This window comes from Homo sapiens, chromosome 12 (genome assembly GCF_000001405.40).
Source record: "Homo sapiens chromosome 12, GRCh38.p14 Primary Assembly".
Taxonomy (NCBI): Eukaryota; Metazoa; Chordata; class Mammalia; order Primates; family Hominidae; genus Homo; species Homo sapiens.
Genome location: NC_000012.12, coordinates 89,632,916 through 89,660,759, shown reverse-complemented (window position 1 = coordinate 89,660,759; position 27,844 = coordinate 89,632,916). Strand labels below are relative to the sequence as shown.

At 37.1% G+C, this 27,844-nt stretch overlaps 1 protein-coding gene across 45 annotated transcripts in view; it reads left to right on the top strand.

Annotated features, from left to right (window-relative positions):
- The window catches only part of ATP2B1 (ATPase plasma membrane Ca2+ transporting 1), a 121,318-nt gene that overhangs the window by 48,607 nt on the left and 44,867 nt on the right, over positions 1 to 27,844 (top strand). For 36 of the 45 annotated variants that reach the window (NR_182094.1, NR_182093.1, NR_182095.1 and 33 more), the window contains 4 exons: positions 4,653 to 5,081; positions 18,405 to 18,602; positions 25,509 to 25,763; positions 25,857 to 25,982. Coding sequence is in view for 42 of the 45 variants with exons in the window: in NM_001413051.1 (NP_001399980.1) it covers positions 4,874 to 5,081; positions 18,405 to 18,602; positions 25,509 to 25,763; positions 25,857 to 25,982 (787 nt within the window). In the remaining 3 variants the exon portion in view is untranslated. The remainder of the gene's footprint in view (positions 1 to 4,652; positions 5,082 to 18,404; positions 18,603 to 25,508; positions 25,764 to 25,856; positions 25,983 to 27,844) is intronic. The other 9 variants (NM_001413060.1, NM_001366531.1, NM_001413058.1 and 6 more) reach the window with 4 other exon arrangements.

The window sequence follows — 27,844 nt, the reverse complement described above, 5'->3', positions numbered from 1 at the left end:
GAACAGTAAAAATAGCTAAAATGTATTTGTCATTTACTGTGTGTCAAGGTAAGTTCAAAGGGTTTACATGTATTTACACATTTAATAAGATGTGTACTGTTTTTGTATCTTTATTTTACAGATGAGCCTGTTACATAATAGGTGTGTATGTCCAAGGCAAAGTAAAATAGATCTGTTACCTCCCTTTGTTAGATATTACGTTCCTGGCCCTACTGCCTGAGAACACACATGCTTTGGGAGTGAGGGAAGGCACTTACATCAGTCATGCTAATTAACACCAAATTAATGCATTTTTTAGCTTTGAGTAAACTGAACTTTTGTCTTTGCATATATGGTGTTGCATTTCTTATATGCCATATTTGTACAGTTATGTTTTGGGAATTAAATGTAAGAGGCCATACTTCTATACCAATTAAATTTAACCTCTCATTCCCATTTGTCCAGATCCCAATTCTGTCATGTAACGTATTGCCGATTTTTACCTAGCTTTGAGTTGCTTATAGATTGGGTAAATACAACTTCTAGGTCTTCAAATTTCTAACAAAAATTTCGAATCATTCAGGAATTAGGAACCCAACAGTGCGTTAAGAAAACACCTCTTTCTAGATTGGTCCTTTTCTATCTAATATATTTAGTTGTATTAGCATATATTTCTGTCTTGCCTGCAAAAATCTCATGCTGATGTACAATATTAATAATCATTTTTAGCACTCCATGTCTTACCTGTTAATTTACTTTGCTATTTTCTTATATTTATTTAGTTTTTCTAATAATTGATTTTTTATTGTTGAGTCTGGATAACTTTTCTCTTCTTTTTTGTTTTTTTTTGTTTTTTTTTTTTTTTGAGTCTCGCTTTGTCCCCAGGCTGCAGTGCAGTGGCGCGATCTCCGCTCACTGCAAGCTCTGCCTCCTGGGTTCACACCATTCTCCTGCCTCAGCCTCCCGAGTAGCTGGGACTACAGGCGCCTGCCACCAGACCCAGCTAATTTTTTGTATTTTTTAGTAGAGACGGGGTTTCACCGTGTTAGCCAGAATGGTCTTGATCTCCTGACCTCGTGATCCGCCCGCCTCGGCCTCCCAAAGTGCTGGGATTACAGGCATGAGCCACTGCGCCTGACCAAGTCTGGTTAACTTTCACACAACGTTTCCTTGCTCTGTAAAGTAACCTTATGAAAGAAGGAATTGAAATTGTATTATTAACCAACCTCTTTATGAGCTCTAGTAACTACTAGGATATAATCATCCTTTTGTCTTTTTCTAAGGCCCTACCCATTCACAGTAAAGATTATATGTCAGTAAAAATCCACCTTATTGTTCTTTTTGAATACTGTAACCTTTTTTGCCCACCTCCAGTCTTCCGCTACGTGTGCTTGTGCGTGTGTGTGTGTGTGTGTGTGTGTGTTTTGTAATACCTCAAAGACTACCAACAGTGGTTTGTTCAGAGACAACATTTATTCTGGGATAAATTTTGTAAGCCAGGAGGCCTACATGTGCTTTCTTTAAAATCTCCCTCTTCTTGGGCCTCAGCTTGCACTTAACATTTTTTCTTAGACTTTTCAAGTAGAAGATAAAATTCTATTAGAAAACAAAGAGAAGCAAAATAGATGTTCTGCTTTCTGTTGTATATCAGTCCCAAATAGCCTGTGTCTCAACTTGATTGTCATGTTGTAGCTAACAAGTGAAAAGCAAAACTTTTTTATTGTCCTTCGTATTTTTGTCAACCAGCCAGTTAGATGAATGGAAGAGTGGGTAAAGAAGAAAATAGTAAAAGGAGCTATGGGTGATCTAGAAATAGACAACAACCTGCTGCATAATTTGTAGGTGATTGGTAATTCAAATAGGTCCACTTTGGGAAAGTGGCTCATTTGCATTTGGTGCTTTTGTCTGGGCTTCCTTTTCTTTAAATTTCTTTAAACAGTGAGGGAATTGAGCATGATTAATATTCATGTGCTTATCAAAGCTCTGTGGCTTGCAAAGTAATAGAAAACTCAACCCCTGAAGGGCATTTATTGACAGATTACGGAAAAGATCAGTGATGGGACAAACTTTAGTCACTGATTGACCCAGGGGCTCAATTGATGTCCAGGATTGACAGCCACATGCTATCTCTATCTCTCTCTCTCTCTCTCTCTCTCTCTCTCTCTCTCTCTCTCTCTCTCTCCTGTTTGAATTCTCTGTTTGAATTCTGTGAAGAGAAAAGACAGATTGGCACATAGGAATAAAAAAAAACAGTTTTATTACTGATAAAAGCTGGAATGGATGACTTGGTTTTTGTGTGACAACAACGCTCTAGTATTGAACCCAGAACTAAGCAATTATTTACCTCTACTCCAGTAGGCTTTTAAACCTTGGGGTCTGCCCCTAAAAATTCAAACCAGAATACATGAGTCCTCCAGTTATCTGGCTCCCCAAAGAAGGCAGAGGTGAAGAAGCTACATATGTCTAGTTTCTCTAGGAAAATCTCCTATCAGGCAGGTCATTTCACGTCCATGGTGATTGATGGGATAGCAGGCCAGGAGTTGTTGAGGAAAATTCCTCTTTGTGGAAACCAGAGGACGGATGAACAAACATGCCCTCAACACACAGACTTATCTTAATTATTTTATTTGTTAAATAATAATCTATTTTAAGGTTAGTGTGATGTTCAGGCCAACAAATTCTGGATATAGAAACCTAAGGAGATTATCAAATAACCACCCTCTCCAGTTTTTCAAGTTGGATTATTATTATAATTGATGTGTGCGTAGGAGGGAACCCACTTTGCCTGGGAGATGAGTAAAATTGGTAATAATTAGACAAGCATAAGGATTTGTGAAGTGGGAGGAAGGAGGCAATGCAAGAAAATGTCTTGCAGAATCTGTAACTGTCACATCTTTGCAAGTTTAACCTAAGGCAAGCAAACTTTTCTCACCCAGCCATCCTCAACTCACTCATATGAATTCTAAGTTTTTAGCCCATTCTCCAGTTCAGTCATTCTCACAAGTGTGCTCCCTAGACTGATAGCATCAGCATCACCCCAAAAATTATTAGAAATGCAGATTATTGAGCCCCACCTTAATCTGCCTGAATCTAAAGATGCTTGAGGTGTGGGGCCCAGCAATCTAACTGATTCTCTGGGTGATTCTGATATATGCTGAAGTATGAGGACCATACACCATGATGTACAGACATCTTCATAGCAGTTTCATAGCTGAAGATTTATTGCATTTGCCATTCTAATCTTTTCTAGTTCTAATCATCAAACATTTTAAAAATATTTTGGAGTGCAGGTAGATTGCTTGAGGTGGGAAGACGTTAAATCTGTAAAATGGAGCCAGACAGTCATGAGCAGCAGTGGGACTGCATTTTCATCTTGTAGGTTTAGATTTAGTGGCATGATGCCTATTTCAAAAACTAAATGTAGCAGCAAAATGCTTAGGGCATTGTATGTGTGAGACATTAGAATGAGGAAGAACCAAGGGGTTAATGATTATAATTTGCATAGAGGAACTTGAAGATCAGGAAGAAAAGGGGTTATATACAGAAGAGACTTTTCAAAGGTAGAATTAACTTAGTAACTGACTGAAGCCGGAAAGGATGGAATCAAAGATGATTTAAGATTCCTAGCCGAGGTGGTAAGGATAATGGTGGTGGCAGAGCTATTTAATGAGTGAATGAGATGAGTCCATTGTTGGGCATGTTAACTTTGAGGTGATTGTATGGAGAGGAGAGCTTATCTTTAGGCAGATTAGTATAATAGGAGGACTTGAAAGTATGATGAAGAAATAAATGTAATGCATGTATTCATTCCTCAAACTTTTACTGAGTGTCTACCATGTGTCTGGTACAGTTCTAGGTTCTCAAGATGTAGTAATGGGCAAACTCTGCCCTCAGAACTAATACTGTAGATGGAGGGAAAAAAATAACATATAAACAAATGAACAAGATAAATTCAGGTAATAAGAAGACTGGGCAAGGACAACAAAAGAGTAGAGAATTTCTTTAGATAGGGGGTCAAAGGAAGACCTGAGGTGGTAACATGTGACAAATCATATAGAGTATAGTTTTTGCCGGCCAAAAGATTTTAGAGTCACAGAGTGGCCAATGAGAATTACAGGAAATAATATTAAAGGATCTGTTATGCTTTTTGTCCTTTCAGGGGCTATTCCATATGAAAGACTTGGAGAGAGAGATCCAAGTATAATGTTAAAAGGAACTTGGGCTTGGAGACAGTCCACCTCAGACATTTCAGCCATTTGTTAGCTGGGCAGAAAACTCACTTTCTTGAAGTCTGCTCTTATCACTAGAAGAAGAAGGAGTAACACCTCATGGGATTAAATTGTAATGATTAAGTGAGAGAATGAATTTAAAACAACTAGCATAGTGCTTGGAACAATAACAGTAATACTGAGTGGATCATAAAATTCAGTCATGTGAAGTGCAGTTTTATTTAATAATGTAATCTAATGTCTTCTGATGTACAGTTTTATTTAAAAGTTGTACTTTGATCTTTTATCATGCAAAGCACTTTAAAAGCACAAGACTGGAGTTCAAAAATATTTATATTATTAAATTATCTACTTTAGCTACCTGGTGACATTTAGAAAATATGCTTACATGCATAATACTCTTAAGATAGATTTTATTAACTTTTAAATATTTTCTTCTTACAGATGTGTATATCTCATGATTGATATGGAGAAACTAGTCATGGGCCAAAGGTCAAGATACTTCTCTGGGAAATGTTGCTGCTGATGCTGCTTTACAAAGTCATACAATGAGTGTTTGGTTTAAGAAAGATTTTCATACTTAAAAGATTTTCATCTTGGAAATACATCAAGTGAAAATTAAATTCTTTTGGGAAACATTTTCCTTCTGATATATTATACTTGTAATGGGCGACATGGCAAACAACTCAGTTGCTTACAGTGGTGTGAAAAACTCTTTGAAGGAAGCTAATCATGATGGAGACTTTGGAATTACGCTCGCAGAGCTGCGGGCTCTCATGGAGCTCAGGTCCACAGATGCATTACGAAAAATACAGGAAAGCTATGGAGATGTCTATGGAATTTGCACCAAATTGAAAACATCTCCCAATGAAGGTGAGTTTTATTATGCTTGTTTTTGGTTCTTTGTGCAAAGAGTTCTATATATTTGGCTTATAAATGAGCATGCTTATATTATCTTGGCGATTGTATGATTATGACATAATTATAGTGACATTAAAAATGGGTTAGTTATCAGATTAATACAGTTAAAGTATTTTTATATTAACACATAAATGTTGCAAATTAATTTATATGTTTTAGATTGGCGGGATGAAATATTTTGTTCCATTATATATACTACTGCTTCCTGTTTATGATAAAAAGATTGTCTTCCCTTTGAGCTATAGAGGATGGAACCAGGCTTGGATGCCTCCCAGGGATTTGGTGGAAATAAACTCTCAGATCACTATCCTTCATTTTGCTGGGTGGCTTAAAATAGTTGTCACTCTCAGTAGTTGATTGAGTTGGTTTTAGCATATGAGGCTTAACCTAACCTTTAATAATTAGCTCAGGAGTTCCTAAAGCAAATGAAATAGAAGAGATGGAAGTTAGTTTTTCACCTAACAGACATTTCCTTTAATGAAACTAGTTTTTAGTCTTTGAATTATGTTGAATATTCCTGTGTTCACAGAAGCCTTTGGTTTCATAAATTTGTATTTGTGGCAGGTTTTCCTTTTGAGAATCAAAAAGGAGAATTCATTATAACTTTCTGGCATTATGGTCTTTGAAATGATTTCAGAAGATTGCCTTTCATAAATTAATCAGATTAAACATAAAATAAAGGTTAGGACATTCCAGGAAAGCATTTCCAAATTGTAAAGGCAGGGATGGGAAGGGACACATATGAGGATGAATGGGGATTACAATTTATTTTATTAAGGATGAGAAATTATTAATGTAAAATTTTAAAGTATATTAGTATATATTCCAAAGCTAATTCTAGAGAAATTAAGCAAAAGTATTTTTCTTAATATTTTTCCTGAAACATTTTATGCCATGCTATTGCTTAGATAATATATAATGTAATAGCAAAAAGTCTTTTCCAAAATTAAATAACTTTAAATTATATTTAAAAATTCTTTAAAACCTTTGTAACCTATGTAATTCATTGTGAATTGTTAATTATTTTAATGATAGGTAGTTACTTTGATTTCTCTGAAGTAGCATGATCTTGAGGAAGCCAGAGTCAGTATTCACACATGTCCCAACAGGGCTTCTTTAGACTATTTGGAATATATTCTTTGCCTGCAAGACCTGTTAACTCTTCAAGGTTTTCTGTATCTTTTCAAATTGGAACCACTAGAAACACCAGCTTCTTAGTTATACCTTAGATATGCTACACCATTTTGATGTAGTTGGGTTTGATTACTACAAGATTGATCCCAACTATTAATACATTAAAATGGTATTGCATATCTAAGGTATAACTAAGAGTATCAGGAACAGTTCCCATGGACTTGAATAGACAGTAATTTGACAAAATTGGTTGCATACTTAAGGTATAACTAAGAGTATCGGGAACAGTTCCCATGGACTTTAATAGACAGTAATTTGACAAAATTTGAAGCTTGTTCATTATGCAAACCGACTTTGAGATGTTATATAGCATCTTAGAGATTTGTACATTAGTATGCTATTCTCAGCTGGTAGATCTATTAATTCAGCTTAATCATTAAAAAATCTCATTGTTTTATCATCATCAAATTGATAGGGGACACTAACATTAAGGAGCCCTCAATATAACAACATAGTTTGTTCATAAAAGCAATATTGAACTTTAGTTTCAAATCTTCACTCAACTGTACTTCCCCTAACCAGGTCCTTGCATTTCTCTATTAATCAAAGTTCTTGTCTTCTGATAACTGAATACCCCACCATTTGAGAATGAGAATGGCTTCTCATTTTTATAGACATGATTTCTCATGAGTTTGCACTACAGTTTCTTTCACGGTATTATTTGGAGCGGTGCCTTTTAAATTGGCTTAATTAGTGAAGTTAAGTTAACTGAAAATTTTACCTCTAGTACAGTGGTTTTTAAAATTTGAGAAGGGGATAGTTATGTACCCTTTTGACAGTATGTTGGAAGCTATGGATAATCTCTAGAAATATCCACTTAGCACTCAAAATTCTATGTGAGGCCGGGCGCGGTGGCTCACGCCTGTAATCCCAGCACTTTGGGAGGCCGAGGCGGGTGGATCATGAGGTCAGGAGATCGAGACCATCCTGGCTAACAAGGTGAAACCCCGTCTCTACTAAAAATACAAAAAAATTAGCCGGGCGCGGTGGCGGGCGCCTGTAGTCCCAGCTACTCGGGAGGCTGAGGCAGGAGAATAGCGTGAACCCGGGAAGCGGAGCTTGCAGTGAGCCGAGATTGCGCCACTGCAGTCCGCAGTCCGGCCTGGGCGACAGAGCGAGACTCCGTCTCAAAAAAAAAAAAAAAAAAAAAAAAGAAAAAAATTCTATGTGAATTGTTGCTGCTTTGGGCTATTAGATAAATTCATGCATTATCCCCTCTCTAATTCGTAGACAGTTTTTGCTCATGTTCTTCCTAGTATTGTGAATTTAATATTTACTAAAATTTGTATAAACTTGTCCTCACTGTTTATATATACACAATTTGTTTTTTTGAAATATTTTAAAAAGAATGTGAAGCAAGCCATTTTAAGCATTATACTTATATTTACAGTTGAAAATACAAATGAAAACAGCAGTGCAGTGGCTCGCACCTGTAATCCCAACACTTTGAAAGGCCAAGGCGGGAGGTTTTCTTGAACCTAGGAGTTTAGGACCAGCCTAGGCAATATAGCAAAACCCCATCTCTGCAAATAAAAAGATTAACCACTGTGGTGGCACATGCATCTCTGCTATTCAGGAGGCTGAGGCAGGAGAATCACTTGAGTCCAGGAGTTTGAGGCTGCAGTGAGCTATGATTGCACCACTGCACCTCAGCCTGGGTAACAGAGGGAGACCCTGTCTCAAAAATAAAAAAAACACAGCAGCAGCCTTCACAAGAATGTTATTTCCAAAGGAATATTCATAGTTTTAGTTTAACTTAGTGGAAATAATTCACTCGGAAGCATTTTGTCACTGATCAAGCATACAAATGGTAATAAATGAAACATGACCAGGAGTAAGCAATTAGGAGTTTGTACGTCCAAGGAAATGAACTAGACAGCAAGTACTCTTTCGTTAGAATACCCTGTTTATAGTCAGGGAAAGTGAGAATTAAACTGATTCTTCAAAGTACATGAATTTCAGTTAGGTAAAACTGAAGTTGTCTTACCTGTCCCTTTAGTTCATTCATTTATTGATTCATTCATTGACATATACTTTCTTCAGACATGGGATATTGATTGTCCTGTGTTTTATATACTTCCTCTAAAAAAGGTGGTGGGGCCTGGCAGTTACTGGGAAGGCAGTTGTTGGTGTATAATTAAATCATCACAATTTTAGAGACTTTATGTAAGAATATGTGCATCTTAGAATTGCTGAAATTTTGTAGTATTTATTAGTATCTGCCACGCAGTAGGCATTTTTCTAGGCCCTGGGTATACAGCCATGAATAAAACAAATATCTCTGCCTAATTTTCACATGTTCACATGGGGAGACAGTTCACAAGACAACTAGTAGTGTGTTGGCGATACATGTTTAAAAAAAATGAGTGGAGAAGGGAAATCAGAAATATTGGGGGTGTCGATATTGGATTTCTGTCAAGTATGGAGGAGCAACCCAAGACATTTCTTAAGCAAAACCACAAAAATGATAGGCTATCCTTATGATGGGTAACACTTTTTGTGCCATATTGGCTATTAGCACTTGAAAATATTAAAATAAGTTAATATTTTAACAAGTTTATCCTATTTTACAGCCAAAGAACCCTCAGGACAAAAAAGTTAAGCAGTTTACCCAGAGTCTCACTCTGGCTCCAGTCTTATTCTGGCTTCAGAGACCATGCTTTAACCACTGCATTGTATGTTACCTGTTACAAAAGTTCAGTTCACATAGCTTGTAAAAGAGTTGCACTATGAAGAAAGAGGTAGCTGTGTTCCCTCTTCTCTATAGTAATTTTTGATAGGGGAAAAAATTTTTGGAATTACATGGTGAAAAAAATTTTGGTTTAAGGTTCTGCTTATCAATTTGTTCTTTATTTAAAAAACATACCCTGGCCAGGTATGGTGGCTCACACCTGTAATCCTAGCATTTTGGGAGGCTGAGGTGGGAGGATCGTTTGAACCCAGGAATTTGAGACCAGCCTGGGCAACATTAAAAAAGAAAAAAATGAGCCAGGAGTGGTGGCACATGCCTGTGGTTCCAGCTACTCAGGAGGCTGAGGTGGGAGGATCGCTTGAGTGTGGGAGGATCGCTTGAGTGTGGGAGGATCGCCTGAGTCAAGGCTGGCAGTGATCCATGTGTGATCCCACAAAAGAGTGAGACCCTGTCTCAAGAACAAAAAGAGTGCCCTATTCAAGAAATTGTATTTATGTGATTCCTGTTTGTCTTGCCCATTTATCACTTGTTTTCTAACAATATGTTTTGAAGAATATCATATGCATACTGGTCAATAGGAAGTGTTTTGACCAGATATAATTTTCATATTAAAAACTTCCCAGTGGTTCTGATTAACCATCCTAACTCCTAAAGAAATTGGAACTGTAAATTTCAAAGTGAACTGGAATTGAGGCTTGTAACTTCATATTTTTGGCTCCGTTAGAGAAAGCATCTGTCTTACAGTCCTCAGAATCCAAGAATGCACTTTTATACCAAAATAACCTGCTTATAACATCCTAACTGCATAAAATTACCTTCACAGTTTTTTTTTCTTCTGTATCTTTGTTGTTTTCCTGCATTGACTTTCTTATTCATATTCTGAATCACATTCCTTGATCCTTATATTTTTACACTAGCTTTTGGTATATCTTTCATCTCATTGTGGTCCTATGTTATATTTTATACTGGATGGTAGGGTTTCTGGTATACAGGCCTCCAGCCCTAGGATCATGTTTGTTATTCAGAGTTCTACATTAAAAAAGGAATTCATTTTTATAAATGAATTCATAAAAATTAAAGGCAGGTGCCAAGTGGTATTCTGTAAGAGGCATGGCTTCATGGACTTGTAAAGGGCAAGAAAGCAAATGAGACACTAAGCTTTTAAGTGGTGGTTGCTGAAATTAGGTCCAGGAGTTTCTCCTGAGCTTTAGGTTTGAAAGCCCAAAACACACAAAACCCACAGTGTTTAACTGGTTGCTTGTCAGTCTCCCCCACCAAACTATGAGCTCTTTGAGGGCAAGTGGTAGGGAAAGGCATCCTGAGTCATTTCCCTTTGTATGTCTAGTGCACAGTGACGTAGTAGGCATTTGGGAAAGAATGTGTAAGTTTGACTTTAGAACAGTGTCTCTTAAATTTGCAGTTAGGGACGGGATTGCCTCCTCTTTTGAAATTGAGAAAATCATGAGAATATTAGATTGTTTCCCAAGAAGAATAAACATAAACATAAATTTTTATGTACTTTCTTGGTCTGCACATTTTCCGGTGTCCCTCACTTAGAAAAGTCAGTTTGGCTGCTGCTATAGGTCCACCATGATACAGACTGTGTTACTCCGTTTGCGCACTGCTATAAAGAAATACCTGAGGCAGGGTAATTTATAAAGAAAAGAGGTTTAATTGGCCTCATGGTTCTGCAAGGCTGTACAGGAAGCATGGCATCAGCATCTGCTTGGCTTCTGGTGAGTCCTCAGGGAGATTTTACTCATGGCAGAAGGTAAAGTGGAAGCAGGCACATCATATGGTGAGAGAGGGAGCAAGAGAAACAAGGGGGAGGTCCCAGACTCTTTTAAACAGCCAGATCTCATGTGAACTAACTGAGCAAGAACTCACTTATCACCAAGGGGATGGTGCTAAACTGTCCATGAGAAATCTTCCCCCATGATCTAATCACCTCCCACTAGACCCCACCTCCAACATTTGGAATCACATTTCAGCATGAAATTTGGAGGGAACAGACATCCAAACCATATTATTCCACCCCTGCCCCCACCAAATCTCGTGTCTTTCTCACATTTCAAAATACAATCATGCTTTCTCAACAGTGTCCCAAAGTTTTAACTAATACCAGTATTAATTCAAAAGTTCAAAGTCCAAAATCTCATCTGGAGATGAGTTCCTTCCATTTATGAGCCTGTGAGATCAAAAACAAGCTATTTACTCCAAGATGCAGTTGTGGTACAGGCATTGGTTTTACCTTCCCATTTCAAAAGGGAAAAATCAGCCAAAAGAAAGGAGTGGTAGACCACACAAGTCTGAAACCCAACAGGACAGTCATTAGAGTTCCAAAACAATCTTCTTTGACTGCATATTCTGCATCTAGGGCACACTGATACAAAGGGCGATGTCCCAAGACCTTGGGCAGCTCCGCCTCTGTGGCTTTATAAGGTAGGTGCAGCCCCTGTGGCTACTCTTAGGTTGTAGTTGAGTGATTGAGGCTTTCTAGGCTTAGGATGCAAACTGCCAGTGGCTCTACTGTTCTAGGATCTAGAAAACAATGGCCCCCTTCCCACAGCTCCACTAAGCAGTGCCCTAGTGGGGGGACTTTGTGGGTGCTCCAACCCTACAATTCCCCTTGGCACTGCCCTAGTGGAGTTTCACTATGGGGGCTCTGCCCCTAGGCGGGCTTCTCTTGTGGCACCAAGCCTTTCTGATATTTCCTTTGAAATCTAGGGGAAAACTGCCAAGCCTCCTCCACACTTGAATTCTGAGTATCTGCAAATTTAATACCACATAGGAACTACCAAGGCTTACGGCTTGCACCCTCCAGAGCTGTGGCCCAAGCTGTTCCTGGGCCCCTTTGAGCAGAGGCTGGAGCCAGAGCAGCCAGGATGCAGGGAGCAGTCTCCTGAAGCTGAGCAGGACAGCTGCACCCTGGGCCTAGCCCTTGAAAGCATTCTTTCCGCCTAGGCTGCTGGGCCTGTGATGGGAGGGGCTATCCCAAAGATCTCTGAAATGCCTTCGAGGCCTTTTTCTCATTGCCTTATCTATTAGCACTCAGCTCTCTTTTAGTCATGCTAATCTCTCTAGAAAGTGATTGCACCACAGCCCACTTGTTTTCCTTCTCTACCACAGGTCCAGGCTGCACATTTTCCAGACTTTACCCTCTGCTTTGCTTTTAATTATAAGTTCCAACTTCAGGTCATTCCTTTGCTCCTGCTAATAGTAGGCTGTTGAATCAGCCATGCCTGTTCTTGAATGTTTTGCTGCTGAGAACCGTCTTGTGCTAGATACCCTAGGTCATTACTCTTAAGTTCAAACTTCCACAGATCCCTCAGGCATGGACACAATACAGCCAAGTTCTTTGCTAAGGCCTAACAAGGGTGACCCTTGTTCCAGTTCCCAGTAAGTTTCTCATTTCCATCTGAGAACTTGTCAGCTTGGACTTCAGTGTTTATATCTCTATCAGCATTTTGGTCAGAACCGTTTAACCAGTCTTTAAGAAGTTTCCAGACTTTCCCTCATTTCCCTGTCTTCTTCTAAGCCCTCCAAACTCTTCCAGCCTCTGCCTGTTACCCAGCTACAAAGCCGCTTCCACTTTTTAAGGTATCTTTATAGCAGTGCCCCACACCTCAGTACCAATTTTCTGTGTGTGTTCATTTTTGTGTTGTTATAAAGAAATACTTGAGACTGGGTAATTTATAAAGAAAAGAGATTTAATGGGCTCACAATTCTGCGGGCTATACAGGTAGCATGGCACTGGCATCTGCCTGGCTTCTAGGGATGTCTCAGAGTGCTTTTACTCATGGCAGAAGGTGAAGCAGGAGCAGGCACGTTACATGATGAGAGTGAGAGTGAGAGAAGGAGGAGTTCCCAGACTCTTAACCAGATCTGGCATGAACTACTGAGCAAGAACTCTCTTATTACCAAGGGGATGATGCTGAACCATTCATGAAGGATTCGCCCCCATGATCCAATTACCCCACTAGACCCCACCTCCAACATTTGTAATCACATTTCAACGTGAGATTTGGAAGGGATAAACATCCTTACTATATCACAGACATACATACATGTACATGTAATATAAACACATACAGACACACATATACATATGATATATACACAAATACAAAATTTCTAGTACAGAATTTGATAAGACTGTAGTATGTGCTGTGTGTTAGCTGTGATTGTCGGTTAAATCTACATCCAACATTCCAGTAAATTCCCCCCACTTTATTCCTAAATTGGGACATAATTTTATTAGTGCCTGCAATTGGGATGCTACATTTTCTTGTAAAATATTAAGGTCTTAATATAAGTGACATTTTATTTCATTGTATGTTCTTTTCAAATATAAAGACAGTACTTCTGAGCTGTTATCTACTCATAGATCAAATATAGACTTTTATTTCTCCAAACAATGATGGAGTCAGACCCCAAAAGCATGTAATTCTGAGGCTACTTTTGATGTGTTTTGGTTATATTTTCTCTTTGTGAAGTTAACTGGGCCATAAGAAGATCAATTCCATGCATGACCTTGGCCTCATTGCCACTACACTACAATTAACTGAGCCAATTAGGCAGAAGAGTTCTCATTATATTTTCTTATAAGTTATTCCTAGTAATTTGATATCATTATTTATATTTTTAAAACTAGGACCAGTAATTTCTTTGCCAGTTCCACCAGCTTAGCTATATCTCATACTTTACTTTCTCCCTCCTTACAGTAGAAGCCTCCTCCTGCATCTGTATTAGACAAACATTGCAGCCCTGAATTGCATGGCCTCTGGCCCCTTCGAAGGCTTACCTGTGGTATTACCCTTCATCTCCTGTATCATCAGTGTTGTCTTCTCCACTTGATCATTGTCATTAAGTCACTTGTCTTAATGTCTGTCACCTACTTTTAAAAAAAAAAATGCAAATAAAACCCATTTGAACTCATCTTCACTGATTTATTTCTGCCCACTGGATCACACTCTTGGAAAAAGTTAGCTATGCTTACTGTTGCCACTTGCTCATTCCCACTGTCCGTTCAGCTCTTTTCTAATCAGACTTTCTTCCACACCGTTGCACTGGAATATTCCTTACAAGGTCATCAGCCTCTATCTAGTGAAAGAAAGTGTTCCATTCTCTGGTCTGTCACTCATCCTTTTAACATCATTTGTCATGGTCAGCCACATCACCTTTTTAAAACCTCTTTTCGTCTCTGGGCTTCTGTGGTACTACCTGAACATGTTTTGTTTTGTTCCCCACTCCCCTGCCTTCCTTGCCTCCCTCACTGGCTGTTTCTTCTTAGGTGCCTTGGGCTCCTCTTGCCCTATTTGAACATCAGTGTTGGGTGCTCCAACGCTGTAGCCTCAGCCTAGCTCCCTTCTTGTCTACTTTAACTTTCTGAGAGCTCTCATTGGGCTTGTGGCTCCAGAATCATCTGTATATTGATGACTCTGGCTCAGACTTCTCCTTGAGTTCTCAATATGGATAGCCAGCTGTCTACTAGACACCTACACTTGTTTTGTTTAAATCTATGAAACAGAACCATTAACTCCTCCCTCCCCTTTCCTCCTAATTCTTCAATTCTCAAAATTGCCTGTCTTGGAATATGACTACCATCCACCCACTTAAGTGCTTGAAGACCCCTCCCCCTCGCAAAAAAAAACAAAAACAAAAACATTCTTTCCCTTTCATCCTACATCCAGTCCTTAAGTACGTTGTCTGATCTCCTTCCAAAATACCTGGCAAATCCACTTATCCCCTTCTGCCTCCACTTCTAAAACCCAAATACAAGCACCATCATCTATACTTTATAAGCAGCAACCTCCCAACTGGTCTTTTTCCTTCAATCTTGCTCTCTTCAATTTCCTTCAGATAGCAATTTATGTGATTTTTCTAAAATGCAGGTTAGTTACCACTACTCTGCTTTAATTGTTTTCATTGCACTTTAAGGTGAGAATGCCATTCTCCTCTCCCTAGCCCCCATGTTCTTACCTTTGGCCACTTTTTCCATTTTGACCCTCTCTTCTTTCCTCCAGGGTCACTGGGTTTTACTACAGTGGCTTTGCTTCTGGCTAGTAAATCTTCTAATCTTGTTTTGATCTCTGGGCCTTTGTATTTGCTTTTGCTGCTGGGAATGTTCTGCTCGAAAGTCTTCTCACCCTTGACCCCTGGAAGTTCAGACAGAAGCCAAATGTTAGCTCCTTAGAAAGGCTAATGTAGCCCACTAAGAGAGTTCTATTGGCCCTTTTTTATTGTCTTCATTGTACTTGTCTGTAGTTATTTTAATTGTCTACTGTCTACCTCCAGGATAGTATAAACTTATTGAATGTTCTTGTTCACACTGACTCCTCAGCATGTAGAACAGTCCCTAGAAGTAGTAAATATTCAGTAAATATGTATTGGGAAACAGACTATTGTTACAAAACTGTTCGTTTTATTATATTTAGATTGTGTAAGTTTATTAATAGAAATTAATTGTCCCCAAAATTGAATTAATAACTATAGTGTTCAGTCAGTTTATAATTTGTGTTCCACTTATTTAACTTAAGAGTTGCCCTGTTTATGATTTATGAACTGTGTATACCTTCTCTTTTGGTTCTTCAAAACAACCTTGTAAGTTTGGCCAACTGATATTAGTGCCCTCCCTTGACCCCCAAAGAGTTAAGTGACTTGCACAAGATTTCAGTAGGTGAACCGGAACCTAGGTCTTCTACTTCCTATACCAGATAGTTTTATTGGTATAGTGTCCTAGGTGTGTGCTTTTGTGTGTGTTAGTAGTTTAGAGGAATTATAATAGCATTTAAGACCTTTACTTCCCATATACTCTCCAAGATACGTTTTAAAGCTATCTTTAGCTCTGTGGCTGTTCTTTTCAGTGGTAACATAAAATATTGGTCCCTGTTATAACCAATATGTTAAGATTTGGCCAATTATTTTTTAGTGGTGATAATTATCAGGTGTTACAGGTATGTCATATATATGCAATTAATGGTAGTCTTTATACAGTGTGAGTTAGGCTCATATAACCACTATCTCCATTTTTTTTTCTTTTTGCTGGTAAGAGCATTCAAACACAAGACAAGACAAACCTACGCATAGACTAATCTCATCCTTATTACTGCAGTCCATTGCTGCCTTGCTTTCTATTGACTCTGTCTTAAAGATTAGAGCTCTTTGGAAGCTTTCAACTGATAAGTCTTTTTTTTTTCTTTTTTTTTTTCAACTGAGAAATCTAAAATACTTTCCGTATTGCCCAGTATGGACCCTGTTATAGTTGCAAGTGAGATCATTTTCTGAAATCTTTGAATCTTGTTGAATCCTTCAATGAAGTAAATAATTACTTTAAAGCTATATGTTCATTTCTCATTATTTATTCTAATGTATTTATATTCCCTCTTCTACTCTTTGCCTGCCTGAGCAGTGAGATTAATAGTTAAAGCACTTAAAGCTGAGAGCCTTAACAGTAATCTACTGTTTTCCTGTCTTCCTCCTTTGATGTTCTCTTGGAATAGGCTCTTGCCAAAAAAACAAATTGAAGTTAGGTTTAATATGAGAAGTCAAAAATGATGTTATCCTGGTTATCTCTGCCTTCTTCTCTAGCATTCTTTTTCTTTCTTTCTTTCTTTTTTTTCGGAAACAGAGTCTTGCTCTATCCCCCAGGCTGGAGTTCAGTGGTGTGATCGTGGCTCACTGCAACCTCAGCCTCCTGGGTTCAAGTGATTCTCATGCCTCAGCCTCCTGAGTAGCTGGGATTACAGGAACCCACCACCATACCCGGTTAATTTTTGTGTTTCTAGTAGAAATGAGATTTTACCATGTTGGGCAGGCTGGTCTTGAACTCCCGACCTCAGGTGATCTGCCTGCCTCGGCCTCCCAACCTCAGGTGATCTGCCTGCCTTGGCCTCCCAAAGTGTTGGGATTATAGGCATGAGCCACTGTGCCTGGCTTCTCTAGCATTCTTAAACAGACAAGGAAAAATATCATTTGTCACTGCTGTCTGTACTGTTACATTCCCACAATAATGTACATGTGTACACACTTTGCATTAACTAATTGGGATATATCTGGGTTTGACAGGATCAACAAGGTTAAAGACTTACTTGGTAGGGTGAAGGAATGGCAAAATGGATGTTCATCCAACTAGCTCTGTCTTAACCTCCTCATATCTTTCTAATTCCATACTCCAGACGATAAATGTTACATCCTACAGTATACCTCCTACAGTATACCTTTTACCTTAAGTGACAATAGGTACATTCAATAGCACCACCTATTACTTCTAAGAAAGATCATCCTAAGTTTCCTGTTATATCAATCGAAGTATAACAGAGACATTTTAGTAGAGAAGCTTTTAGAGTTTGTGATAGATTAACTTTTCACTGTTACTCAGCAAATGAGAGTAAAAAATCAGACTTTCACAGTTGTCCAGGGTGCAATAACTAAACCAAATCTGTATCTATATCTATATAACTGAACCAAATATATATATATGTGTATATGTGTGTGTATATATACATATATATACGTATATACATATATACACATATACACACATATATACATATATACATACATATACATATATACATACATACATATATACATATACACGTGTATATACATATATACGTGTATATACGTATATATATACGTATGTATATATGTGTGTGTGTGTGTGTGTGTGTGTGTATGTATCTTTATATATAAACTTCCCAGTTTTGTGGGGGCAATATCCTCAGGTCAGGGAAATGTTTAACTCCAATATGAAAACCATCAGACTGTCACAACAGTTCTGATTGCTAACATCTACAAGATGGTATAGGATAGTACGATCAGAAATAAGCAGTTCTGGCCAGGCATGGTGGCTCACATTTGTAATCCCAGCACTTTGGGAGGCTGAGGCAGGTGCATCACCTTAGGTCAGGAGTTCAAGACCAGCCTGACCAACATGGTGAAACCCTGTCACTACTAAAGATACAAAAATTAGCCGGGTGTGGTGGCATGCACCTATAGTCCCAGCTACTCGAGAAGGTGAGGTAGGAGAATCACTTGAACCTGGGAGGCAGAGGTTGCAGTGAGCCGAGATTGTGCCACTGCACGCCAGCCTGGGTGACAGAGCAAGACTCTGTCTCAAAAAAACAAGCAAAATAAAAAACAAAAAACAAAACTAAGCAGTTGGGAAAGTGAAAATTCTTAGTGCAGTCCTAACTGATCTACTTAAAGTGTTCTTTTAAAGACCTGCACATGTTTTTCAGTGATTTAAATTCTGTACACTTAAAGCATGAAAGTAAACATTTTGGTAGGGTCTAGAGTGATGAGTTGAGGTATTTTGAATAAAACTATATATTTTCATTTGTAAGAAGTAAAACTGTTCACTGAAATTTGTTTCTTTTTATTAGGTTTAAGTGGAAACCCTGCAGATTTAGAAAGAAGAGAAGCAGTGTTTGGAAAGAATTTTATACCTCCTAAAAAGCCAAAAACCTTTCTTCAATTAGTATGGGAAGCATTACAAGATGTCACTTTAATTATATTAGAAATTGCAGCCATAGTATCATTGGGCCTTTCTTTTTATCAGCCTCCAGAAGGGGATAATGCACGTAAGTAAATGGGGGGAAAAAAGACATGTCTGATGCTAGTTCAGCTAATTCATTTAGTTAATGCACAATAATAATAGCTGGCCAGCATTTATTGATGTTTGCTATGTGCTAGGCACTGTTCTAAGTACCTTAAATATATTATCTCAGATAACTTTCACAGTAACCCTATGAATTAGATTGTGTTACCTCCCTTTTACAATGAGGCACAGAGGTTAAATAACCTATCCATATATGCTTACTATGTGTCTGGCACAGACCTATGCCATGTATATGACATGGTCTTTGCTATCACAGTTTTTAAGTTTTTTTAGAACACTATACTGTGAAACAATTTCAGTTTTTAGTTTTTGGTTTCTTTTGGAAAATGTCATTATGAAAGCAAAATTCTGTTCTCTTCCCAAATTCATTACTTGTCAAGTTCTTAAAGTGTTTTGCTATGTACACCATTTGGATAATTTCCTTGCCATTATGGAAAATGTCCTTGCCATTATACTATAGGTTGAACATCCCTAATATGAAAATCCGAAATACTTTGAAATTCAAAATTTTTGAGTGCCGACATGATGCCACAAGTGGAAAAATTCCACACATAAGTACTTACCACAAATTTTGTCTCATATACAAGATTATTTTTTAAATATTGTATAAAATTACTTTTAGGCTATGTGTATAAGGTGTATATGAAACATAAATTGATGTTTGGACTTGGGTCCCATCCCCAAGATATCTGATTTTATATATATGCACATATTCCCAAATCTGAAAAAATTAAAACATTTTTGGCCCCAAGCATTTCAGAAAAGGGATACTCAACCTGTACAGAGTATCCTAACCAATAGAGAAATACATTATAGCGTGGTAGATTTGCTTTAACTTGTGGCTACAAATGTTTTTTTCTCCTATCTTTCCCTTTCTCTTTTAAATTTCTTTATCTGCCTTTTAAAAAATTTGTTTAAAATTAATAGTTCTGCTGGTAGATTCTGTAACTGGTAGGAAATCTAGCATGCATTTTGGTTACTATATTTAAGTAGCTGTAATATAAAACAAACCAGTAGTATTTTATGTATCAAAAGGCTGATTCACCAAAATATTTTTGTGAAAGCTTCATTCCTATACCCTTTCGAGTTGTGAAGAGATACTTGCTAACTCTAAAAGTTGGGTAAGGTAATTATGTTAGTCTGTTTGCATTGCTGTATAAGAATACCTGAGACTGGCTAACTTATAAGAAAAGGTTCTGCAGGCTGTACAGGAAACGTGGTGCCAGCATCTGCTTCTGGTGAGGGCCTCAGAAAGCTTATAGTCATGGCAGAAGGCGAAGCAGGAGCAGGCAGAACACATGGAGAGAGAGGGAGCAAGAGGTGGCCTTGAGGGGCCAGGATTTTTCAAGGACCTGCTCTTGTGTGAAGTAGTCACCATGGGGAGGGCACCAAGCCATTCATGAGGGTTCCACCCCCATGATCCAAACACCTCCCCTTAGGCCCTGCTTTCAACACTAGGGATCATATTTCAGCATGAGATTTGGAGGGGAAAAACATCCAAACTCTATCAATAATTATGTAATTATTTATAAGATGTACCTAGGCTCACGTAAGACTGTATTCTTTCTCTTTAAAGAAATTTGGACACAGCATAAATCAGTTTTTCTGAGATTGGTATAGATTAAGGTTTCTTAGAAGCAGCACGACTGACATATTGAGCGGCAAAATTATTTGTCACAATATTCATTCTGCACCCCACCCCCAGTGAGGCAACCAAAAACGTCTCCAGATTTTGCTGTGTGTCCCATAGGGGGCAAAGTTGCCTCTGGTTGAAAATCACTATAGATAAGGAGAGGCTTAGACAATATTCTTGTCACTGTTGAGCTAAATTATTTTTTAAACTTTTATTTATTTTTGCTAAATAAGTAGTACCTATTTTACTGTTTAAAAAAAATAATGGGGGTGGGGGAAGACAGTCCAAAGGAAATAATATTCACTGGAAATCCCATTTCTTAGAGATTCCTGCTATACCCTTTTATGTATATATCCTTTAAGATTTTAAATATGTATCCGTGGTCTATGTGTCTATGAGCACTAATATATGTAAAGGTATGATGGTGCATAGATACATGTGTTTATCTGAAAAGGGGAGTCATATCATCTTCAGCAACATACAGCTGAATTTTTGTCAGTTTTCCACCTGTCTAGCTGTCACTATCAAATATTGGGTATTGGTTTTCTAGAATTGAGTTAGCAGATTAATAAAAGCTTTTTACTTTGAACATTTTAGTTTTCTTAGAAAACAAAAGAAAAAATACTTTCAAGAAGTGGAGTTTATTACCAGCAAGGTCCAGGACAAATCTTTTTGGAATTCAAACTGCTTCCTTTGTAAGATGTAGTGACAGGTCCTTTCCTAAATTTGTTAAAGGAGATACAGGTATTAAAATCCAACTGAGAAGATAATCTAGAGCTGTCGGTGTTCTAAGGCCCTTTTAAAAGAGTCAGAGTTCACTAGAAGTTCTTAATGAAACATATAAAGATTTTTTTGCTCCATGGTGAAAAGTTATTTAGTATTTGCATTTTTTATTTTTTATTTTTATTATATATATAAAATAAAATATGTATATTGAGACAGATATATATATAAAATATATAGAGAGAGACTATATATATATTGAGACAGAGTCTCACTGTGTCGCCCAGGCTGGAGTGCAGTGGCACTATCTCGGCTCACTGCAACCTCCATCTCCAAGGTTCAAGCGATTCTGCTGCCTCAGCCTCCTGAGTAGCTGGGACTATAGGCATGTGCCACCATGCCTGGCTAATTTTTGTATTTTTAGTAGACACGGGGTTTCACCATGTTGGCCAGGCTGGTCTCAAACCCCTGACCTCAGGTTATCTGCCCGCCTCGGCCTCCCAAAGTGCTCAGATTACAGGCATGAGCCACCGTGCCCAGCCTTGCATTTTTTAAAATCATTATTAGTACACTACATGTATCTTTTTGTCTCGTTACATCTCAACACTGAGGTGTGGTAACTTGCTTAAAAGGAATCTATTTGTAAATCTACAGTCATAGAAATCTAAATGATCAAAATGTCTTCCTAATATTACTTGATGTGAAAATATATGCTATAGCCCAAACCATAAATAAATCTATAGTTACTGGTATCTGCACTTAACAGGAGTTCTCAAACTTTTTGGTCTCGAGACCTCTTTAAACTCTTCAAGTATTGAGGACTCCAAAGAGCTTTTGATTATGTGAATTATTCCTATAAATATTTAGTATATTCTAAATAAAAATGGAAAAATTTTTGAATATTAATGTGTTCTCACCACAAAAGTAACTATATGAGGTGATGGATATATTAACTGATTGTGGCAATCTTTTCACAGCATATACATATATCAAAATATTTTGCTGTATATCCTAACTATATGCAGTTTTATCAATCATACTGCAGTAAAGCTGGACAAAATATTTATCAGTGCATTTTTAAATAATAATCTATTGTATATTCACATAGATAGCATTTTGATGAAAAATGTTCCCTCAATAATGAATTTTTAAATGAAATAATGTAAAGAGTGGTGTCATATCTCTTTAATGCCCAGCTTTATTGAAGATAGCTCGGTTCTCCTGTCTGCTTCTGTATTTATTATGTCACATTATCACATGCAGTGTAATCTTTGGAAAATTATGTTACACATTAATGAAATATGAGACCAATAATTATGTCTTCAAATTATGAAAATAGGAATCCCTCTCAGGTTTCACGACAGCACTTTGAGAACTACTTCTCTGTACTGTTAATGTACAAACTTGGTACATCACCCAATGAATAGCTCAACTAGGAGGTTTTAAAATGGAATATTTGCCTTGTGGTAGAGAGTATTGACTGAATTTAGATTGTGCATGTCTCTCAGTTGAATATATTTACAAGAGAATACCTTTGATAATACAGGTTTTTATTATTATATTTGAGCTTGGACTTTACTGAAAACATTGTTAAAATTCTTTATATATTTATACATATATATAACTGTAAGCTGTAGTCATTTTGTAACTTTGATCCTTTTTCCCCTATAACTTCTCTAAAAATTTGTAATCATTGTCAGTAGGAAAGGATTTATATTTTGTACTATTTCAAGATTATTTTGGTCTTATCTGTATGATGTAGAGTAGAACTATATATGAAATGATATATGTCATTAATTTGCTTCAAGTTCTCTTTTGAAATATTCAGTAGTTTAGTGATGGATATCCATGTCAGATTCAGAGCTGAAAATTGTATAATTGTCCGTAATTCTTTCCCCTCCTTAACCTCTGTTGTGTTGGTCTTTAAACTTTTTTGGTTATTTACTCTATCAGGAAAAAAATGAGCACATACCTCCAAATGATGCATTTATTAATTATATTTATAACTATATAATTTGTATATTTTCAGCATATAGAAAAAATAGAAATTGAAAGTAAAAGATAAAGCTGGGCACAGTGGCTCATGCCTGTAATCCCAGCACTTTGGGAGGCTGAGGTGGGAGGATTGCTTGAGGCCAGGAGTTCGAGGCCAATCTGGGCAATGTGGCGAGATCCCATCTCTACAGAAAATTTTAAAATGAGCTGGGCGTGGTGGCATGCGCCTTGTGGTCTAAGCTACTTGGGAGGCTGAGGTAGGAAGATTGCTTGAGCATGCAGTGAGCCACATTGGCACCACTGCACTCCAGCCTGAGCAACAAAGTGAGACTCTGTCTCAAAAAAGAAAAAATTAAAATTTAATGTTTGCTTTCTTCTTGTAGCCATAAAACATTATTGTTAACCTGATTTAGGTCTAAGTTTAATTTCAGAAGTTGGCTTTAATGTCTCGCAGCTAAAAGAAACACAACATTATATAAATCCAAGTGGGAAAAGTGTAGTTACTAAATCATACTCATTTTCATGATACCTACCCACCAGTTATGCAAAGGTATTTGTTAAAATATGACTGGTAAATTCCATTGTCTGATGTCAATCTGTTGTTTTTATATGCTGTTATAAAGTATTGCATTTTTTGTGTAATAAATGACATCAAAACCCAGTAAAATGCTTCACTTGGATAATATGTTAGCTGTGTTTCCAAGTTGGTGAAAGTGGTCAGCATGGTGTTCTATCATCTGATTCTGAGTCCAGAGTTGCTCTAATTCAGAGTTAATCTCCTGTCTTCTGGCTAGAGGGAGGAATGGAGCGGGGAGAGTCATTCTTACAGCCTTGACTGTTAAACAGAATGTAAATCATAAAATCACTTTAACTGGTTATTATACACAATGACACATGGTGATTTCTTGAGCTTGAAAATAATTAAAATAGAAATTCTGGTATTTGTGTTGGAGGGGGTTCTGTTGGATTATCCTGCTTGTACCTCACAGTTGAATCCTGCTGGTGGTTCTCAGGATATTTTTTGTAACTGTTCACGTCAAGTCTTCCATTTCATCCCCAATTGATTTTACTTCATTCCCTGTCTTCCCTCCCAGATTGCTTTTTAGTCAGCACCCTCACACCTCAGATTTTTTCTTCAGTCTGTACTCACCATGCTAGAACACGCTTTAGTCATTTCTAGTGTCATTTATTTACTCATTCTTTTCTTCTGAATAATCCTCCTGCTTTGTCTGTTTGAGAGAACCAATGGCTTTCAGACATTTCAATTCAATTTAAAAAGAAATAACTTCACATAGCAACCCAGAAGCCTGTATTCCTTCATGCGAATTTATAAGTAATCAGCGTTTCAGGAAATAATACTTATCCTTACTACATACATATCCTTTCTATTTTGTTTTGTTCCATTTTTCAGAATGCTGGTCATGAGCCACTGAATTGATTTTGGACTCACAACTAGATTACAGCCCGAAGTCAAAAAGCACTGTTCTGTTATTCTTCACCATTATTGACTATAGAGTTTTGGCTCATTCTCTCCCCCCTCCCCACCTCCCACCCCACATCCTTTTCTGATCTCTATTCTGCCATTTGTACTGATTTTAATCTCTCCCTGGATTTTTTTTTTCTTAGATGGCTGGTTCTCTACCAATATTTGGTAGCTCAAATGTCATGCATACCTCAATGGGGCCTTCTCTGCTCACTGAACCTCAGTTATCCCTCTTTTTTCATTTAATAGCACATCACTATGTTTTTCTTCATGGCACTTGTCGATATGTGAAATTAATTATTTGTGTATTATTATCTGAATTCTTCATATACCGTCCCCAGTCTGAGTATGGATTCCATGAGGAGAGAGAGCTTGTGTGTCTTACTCACTACTGTATTTCTAGCCCCTAAAATAGTGTCTGGCACCTAGCCTGTGCTCAAATGGTTGGAATAACAAGTAGCAGTTTGCTTAACTTTTCATGTTATAAAAGCCAAGTTTTAATCACATTTCAGTAAAAATGACATAGTAAATAAGCATGATTCATGGGTTTCACGTAATACTAACTTCTCATGTATATCTTGTCTATCATATGTAATAATTAATATGGTTAGCTCTTGGTTGAGTGCGAAGAAAGCCTTAGCCACTGCTGTACCTACTTTACCAGTATCCTCACATTTAATCCTCACAATAACTCTGGAATAGCTGGTGGTATCATAATTTGACGATGAAGAAACCAAGTCTCAAAAATTAAGTAACTTGCCTTAGGACTGATATTTCATCTCCTTCAGTGTCCTTACTCTTAACTAGTACCCTACCTAGACTGCCTCCCTCTACTGAGATTAAGAATTACAGAAGCAGGGAACTTGAAAGTGACATAGAGTTCTTATGGAATACTTTGAATTTAATAAAGTATTTATTGCTATAAGTAAAATTGATAAACATAATTAACACAAAAATATGATTTAGACGTACTATATGTATGTTGTCATCAATTCAGAATCTTTTTGATAAGCATTTTCTTTCTTTCCAAATAGTTTGTGGAGAAGTTTCTGTTGGGGAGGAAGAAGGTGAAGGTGAAACTGGTTGGATTGAAGGAGCTGCAATCCTCTTGTCTGTAGTGTGTGTGGTGTTAGTAACAGCTTTCAATGACTGGAGTAAGGAAAAACAGTTTAGAGGTTTGCAGAGCCGAATTGAACAAGAACAGAAGTTCACTGTCATCAGGGGTGGTCAGGTCATTCAGATACCTGTAGCTGACATTACTGTTGGAGATATTGCTCAAGTGAAATATGGTAAGTAAGTAAAAAGAGCAGTACATCTGACACTAAACATAAAATTACTGTAATCTTGTTTATAAGTTTAGTATATCATGCTTTTTATTTTAGGTGATCTTCTTCCAGCTGACGGCATACTTATTCAAGGCAACGATCTTAAAATTGATGAAAGCTCATTGACTGGTGAATCAGATCATGTTAAAAAGTCTTTAGATAAGGATCCCTTACTTCTATCAGGTAAAAATTTCATTTATATCTTTGAACACTTTCCTCTTTCGCAACTATGTACCATTGTCAGCAAACACCATTTTCCTAAGAGTCAATAATATAAAGAGGAATCTGTATTTTATGCTACCTTCTACTGTTGTAATCCTTGCAGACTTTTTTTGGTAAGCTGACAAAAACATTAGAAAACTTTGAATGCAGAGCTATATTTTACAAATGAGGGACCAGAGTCCAAAAAATCAAGAGATTTGAGATTCAGCATTCATGCTAGTGTAATGATAAAACTGAAATATAGGCCTAATGATATCTCTTGAGTTGGTCTGTTATTCTGTATCATGACTATTTTTAATGCCTATTGAAGTATAAAATTAAAGAATGAATATATGTTTAAAGCAAATTAATGAATTCTCTGTGATGCTCTACAAAGGACAGGTTGTTTTTTCTTAAGAACTGGTAAAATCCTTAAAGTTTACCTAATCCAACTCCTTTAACTGCTGAAGAATGAGTTTGAGATATAAACTATTTAGTATTATATGATTAACCAAGAGTAGGTCTAGCAGTCACACCTCCATCTAGTCAGAATTGAATTTGCAAATGGTTAAGATATGTTCTGGGATTGGAGAAGGGAAGGATAGGTGAGGATACTGTTTGAAATGGAGGGTGACAGCTTGGGAGGCTCTTGTAGTAACCTCATTGTGATAGCTTGAACTAAGTTGAACTAAGTAAATATGAAATGGAAGGGGTGGTGGGAAAAATTACAAGTTCGCTTCCAAAACACTGAATGAGAGAAAGCTATAGTATCACAAATTGACCCCCAAGTCATATTAATTATTCTAACTTTTAGGTTCTGGGGTTCCTATTCTTATTTTCCCAGTATTCTATATGGAATTTATGAAATTGTCTATCAGAACTGTACTTGTCAGATTGAATTTATACTAGAGTTTTGGGAAAGCCAAATGTAGCCTTCTACATGTAGTCTTCTGTCATTGTCAGGTGTTGATAGATTGCCAACATTTTATACATTGTCAGATGATTGCTGCTGAAACCAGAGTCAAACCTGTGATATCCACAAGGGTCAGTTAAGTTAGAATCACAACTTTAGAGCAAAACCTAAGTTTAACCATAACTTTTTAAGATTTATAAATGCATGCCAAAAGAAGCTTATTGCAAAGAACCAGACACATTTATATTGGCCAGAAAATCCTATTGCAAAAAAATCAGAGTAATTACATTTATAAACACCATTATAAATAGGATAAAAGTTCCAATTCTAATATAGACTTAACGTTTCATCAAAAAAAAAAAAAAATCTTGAGATGTGTATACCTTCAGTATCCTGTGCCACTTAGAACATTAGGAGATATACGTAATGCTAAATGACGAGTTAATGGGTGCAGCACACCAACATGGCACATGTATACATATGTAACAAACCTACACATTGTGCACATGTACCCTAAAACTTAAAATATAATAATAATAAAATTTAAAAAAAAGAAAAAAGAACATTCACACCCTGTTTGGATTTTTCTTTGTATTGGTGTGGTTGTCATTTATACCAAATAGCCAGAAAGAGCTTGGATATATAAATATAATGTATTTAAGTATAATGTGTTAACTCATTCTACTTACCTTGCCATGCTTCTAAGGAACTGTAGTTAATGTTAACCAAATAAAATCTATAACCTTTCCAAAGGAGAGGGAAGCTATCTAATCATACCTTACCATCACAGATTAACCAGACCACAATGTGTAACAAACTAAGATAGTCTCCTGTTTGCTATGTATACTGCATGGACTTTTATGTACATCTCACTTATTTACATAGTGCTTAGCTCTTCAGGTTGATTTCCTTTAACTGAACTTTGGTCCTT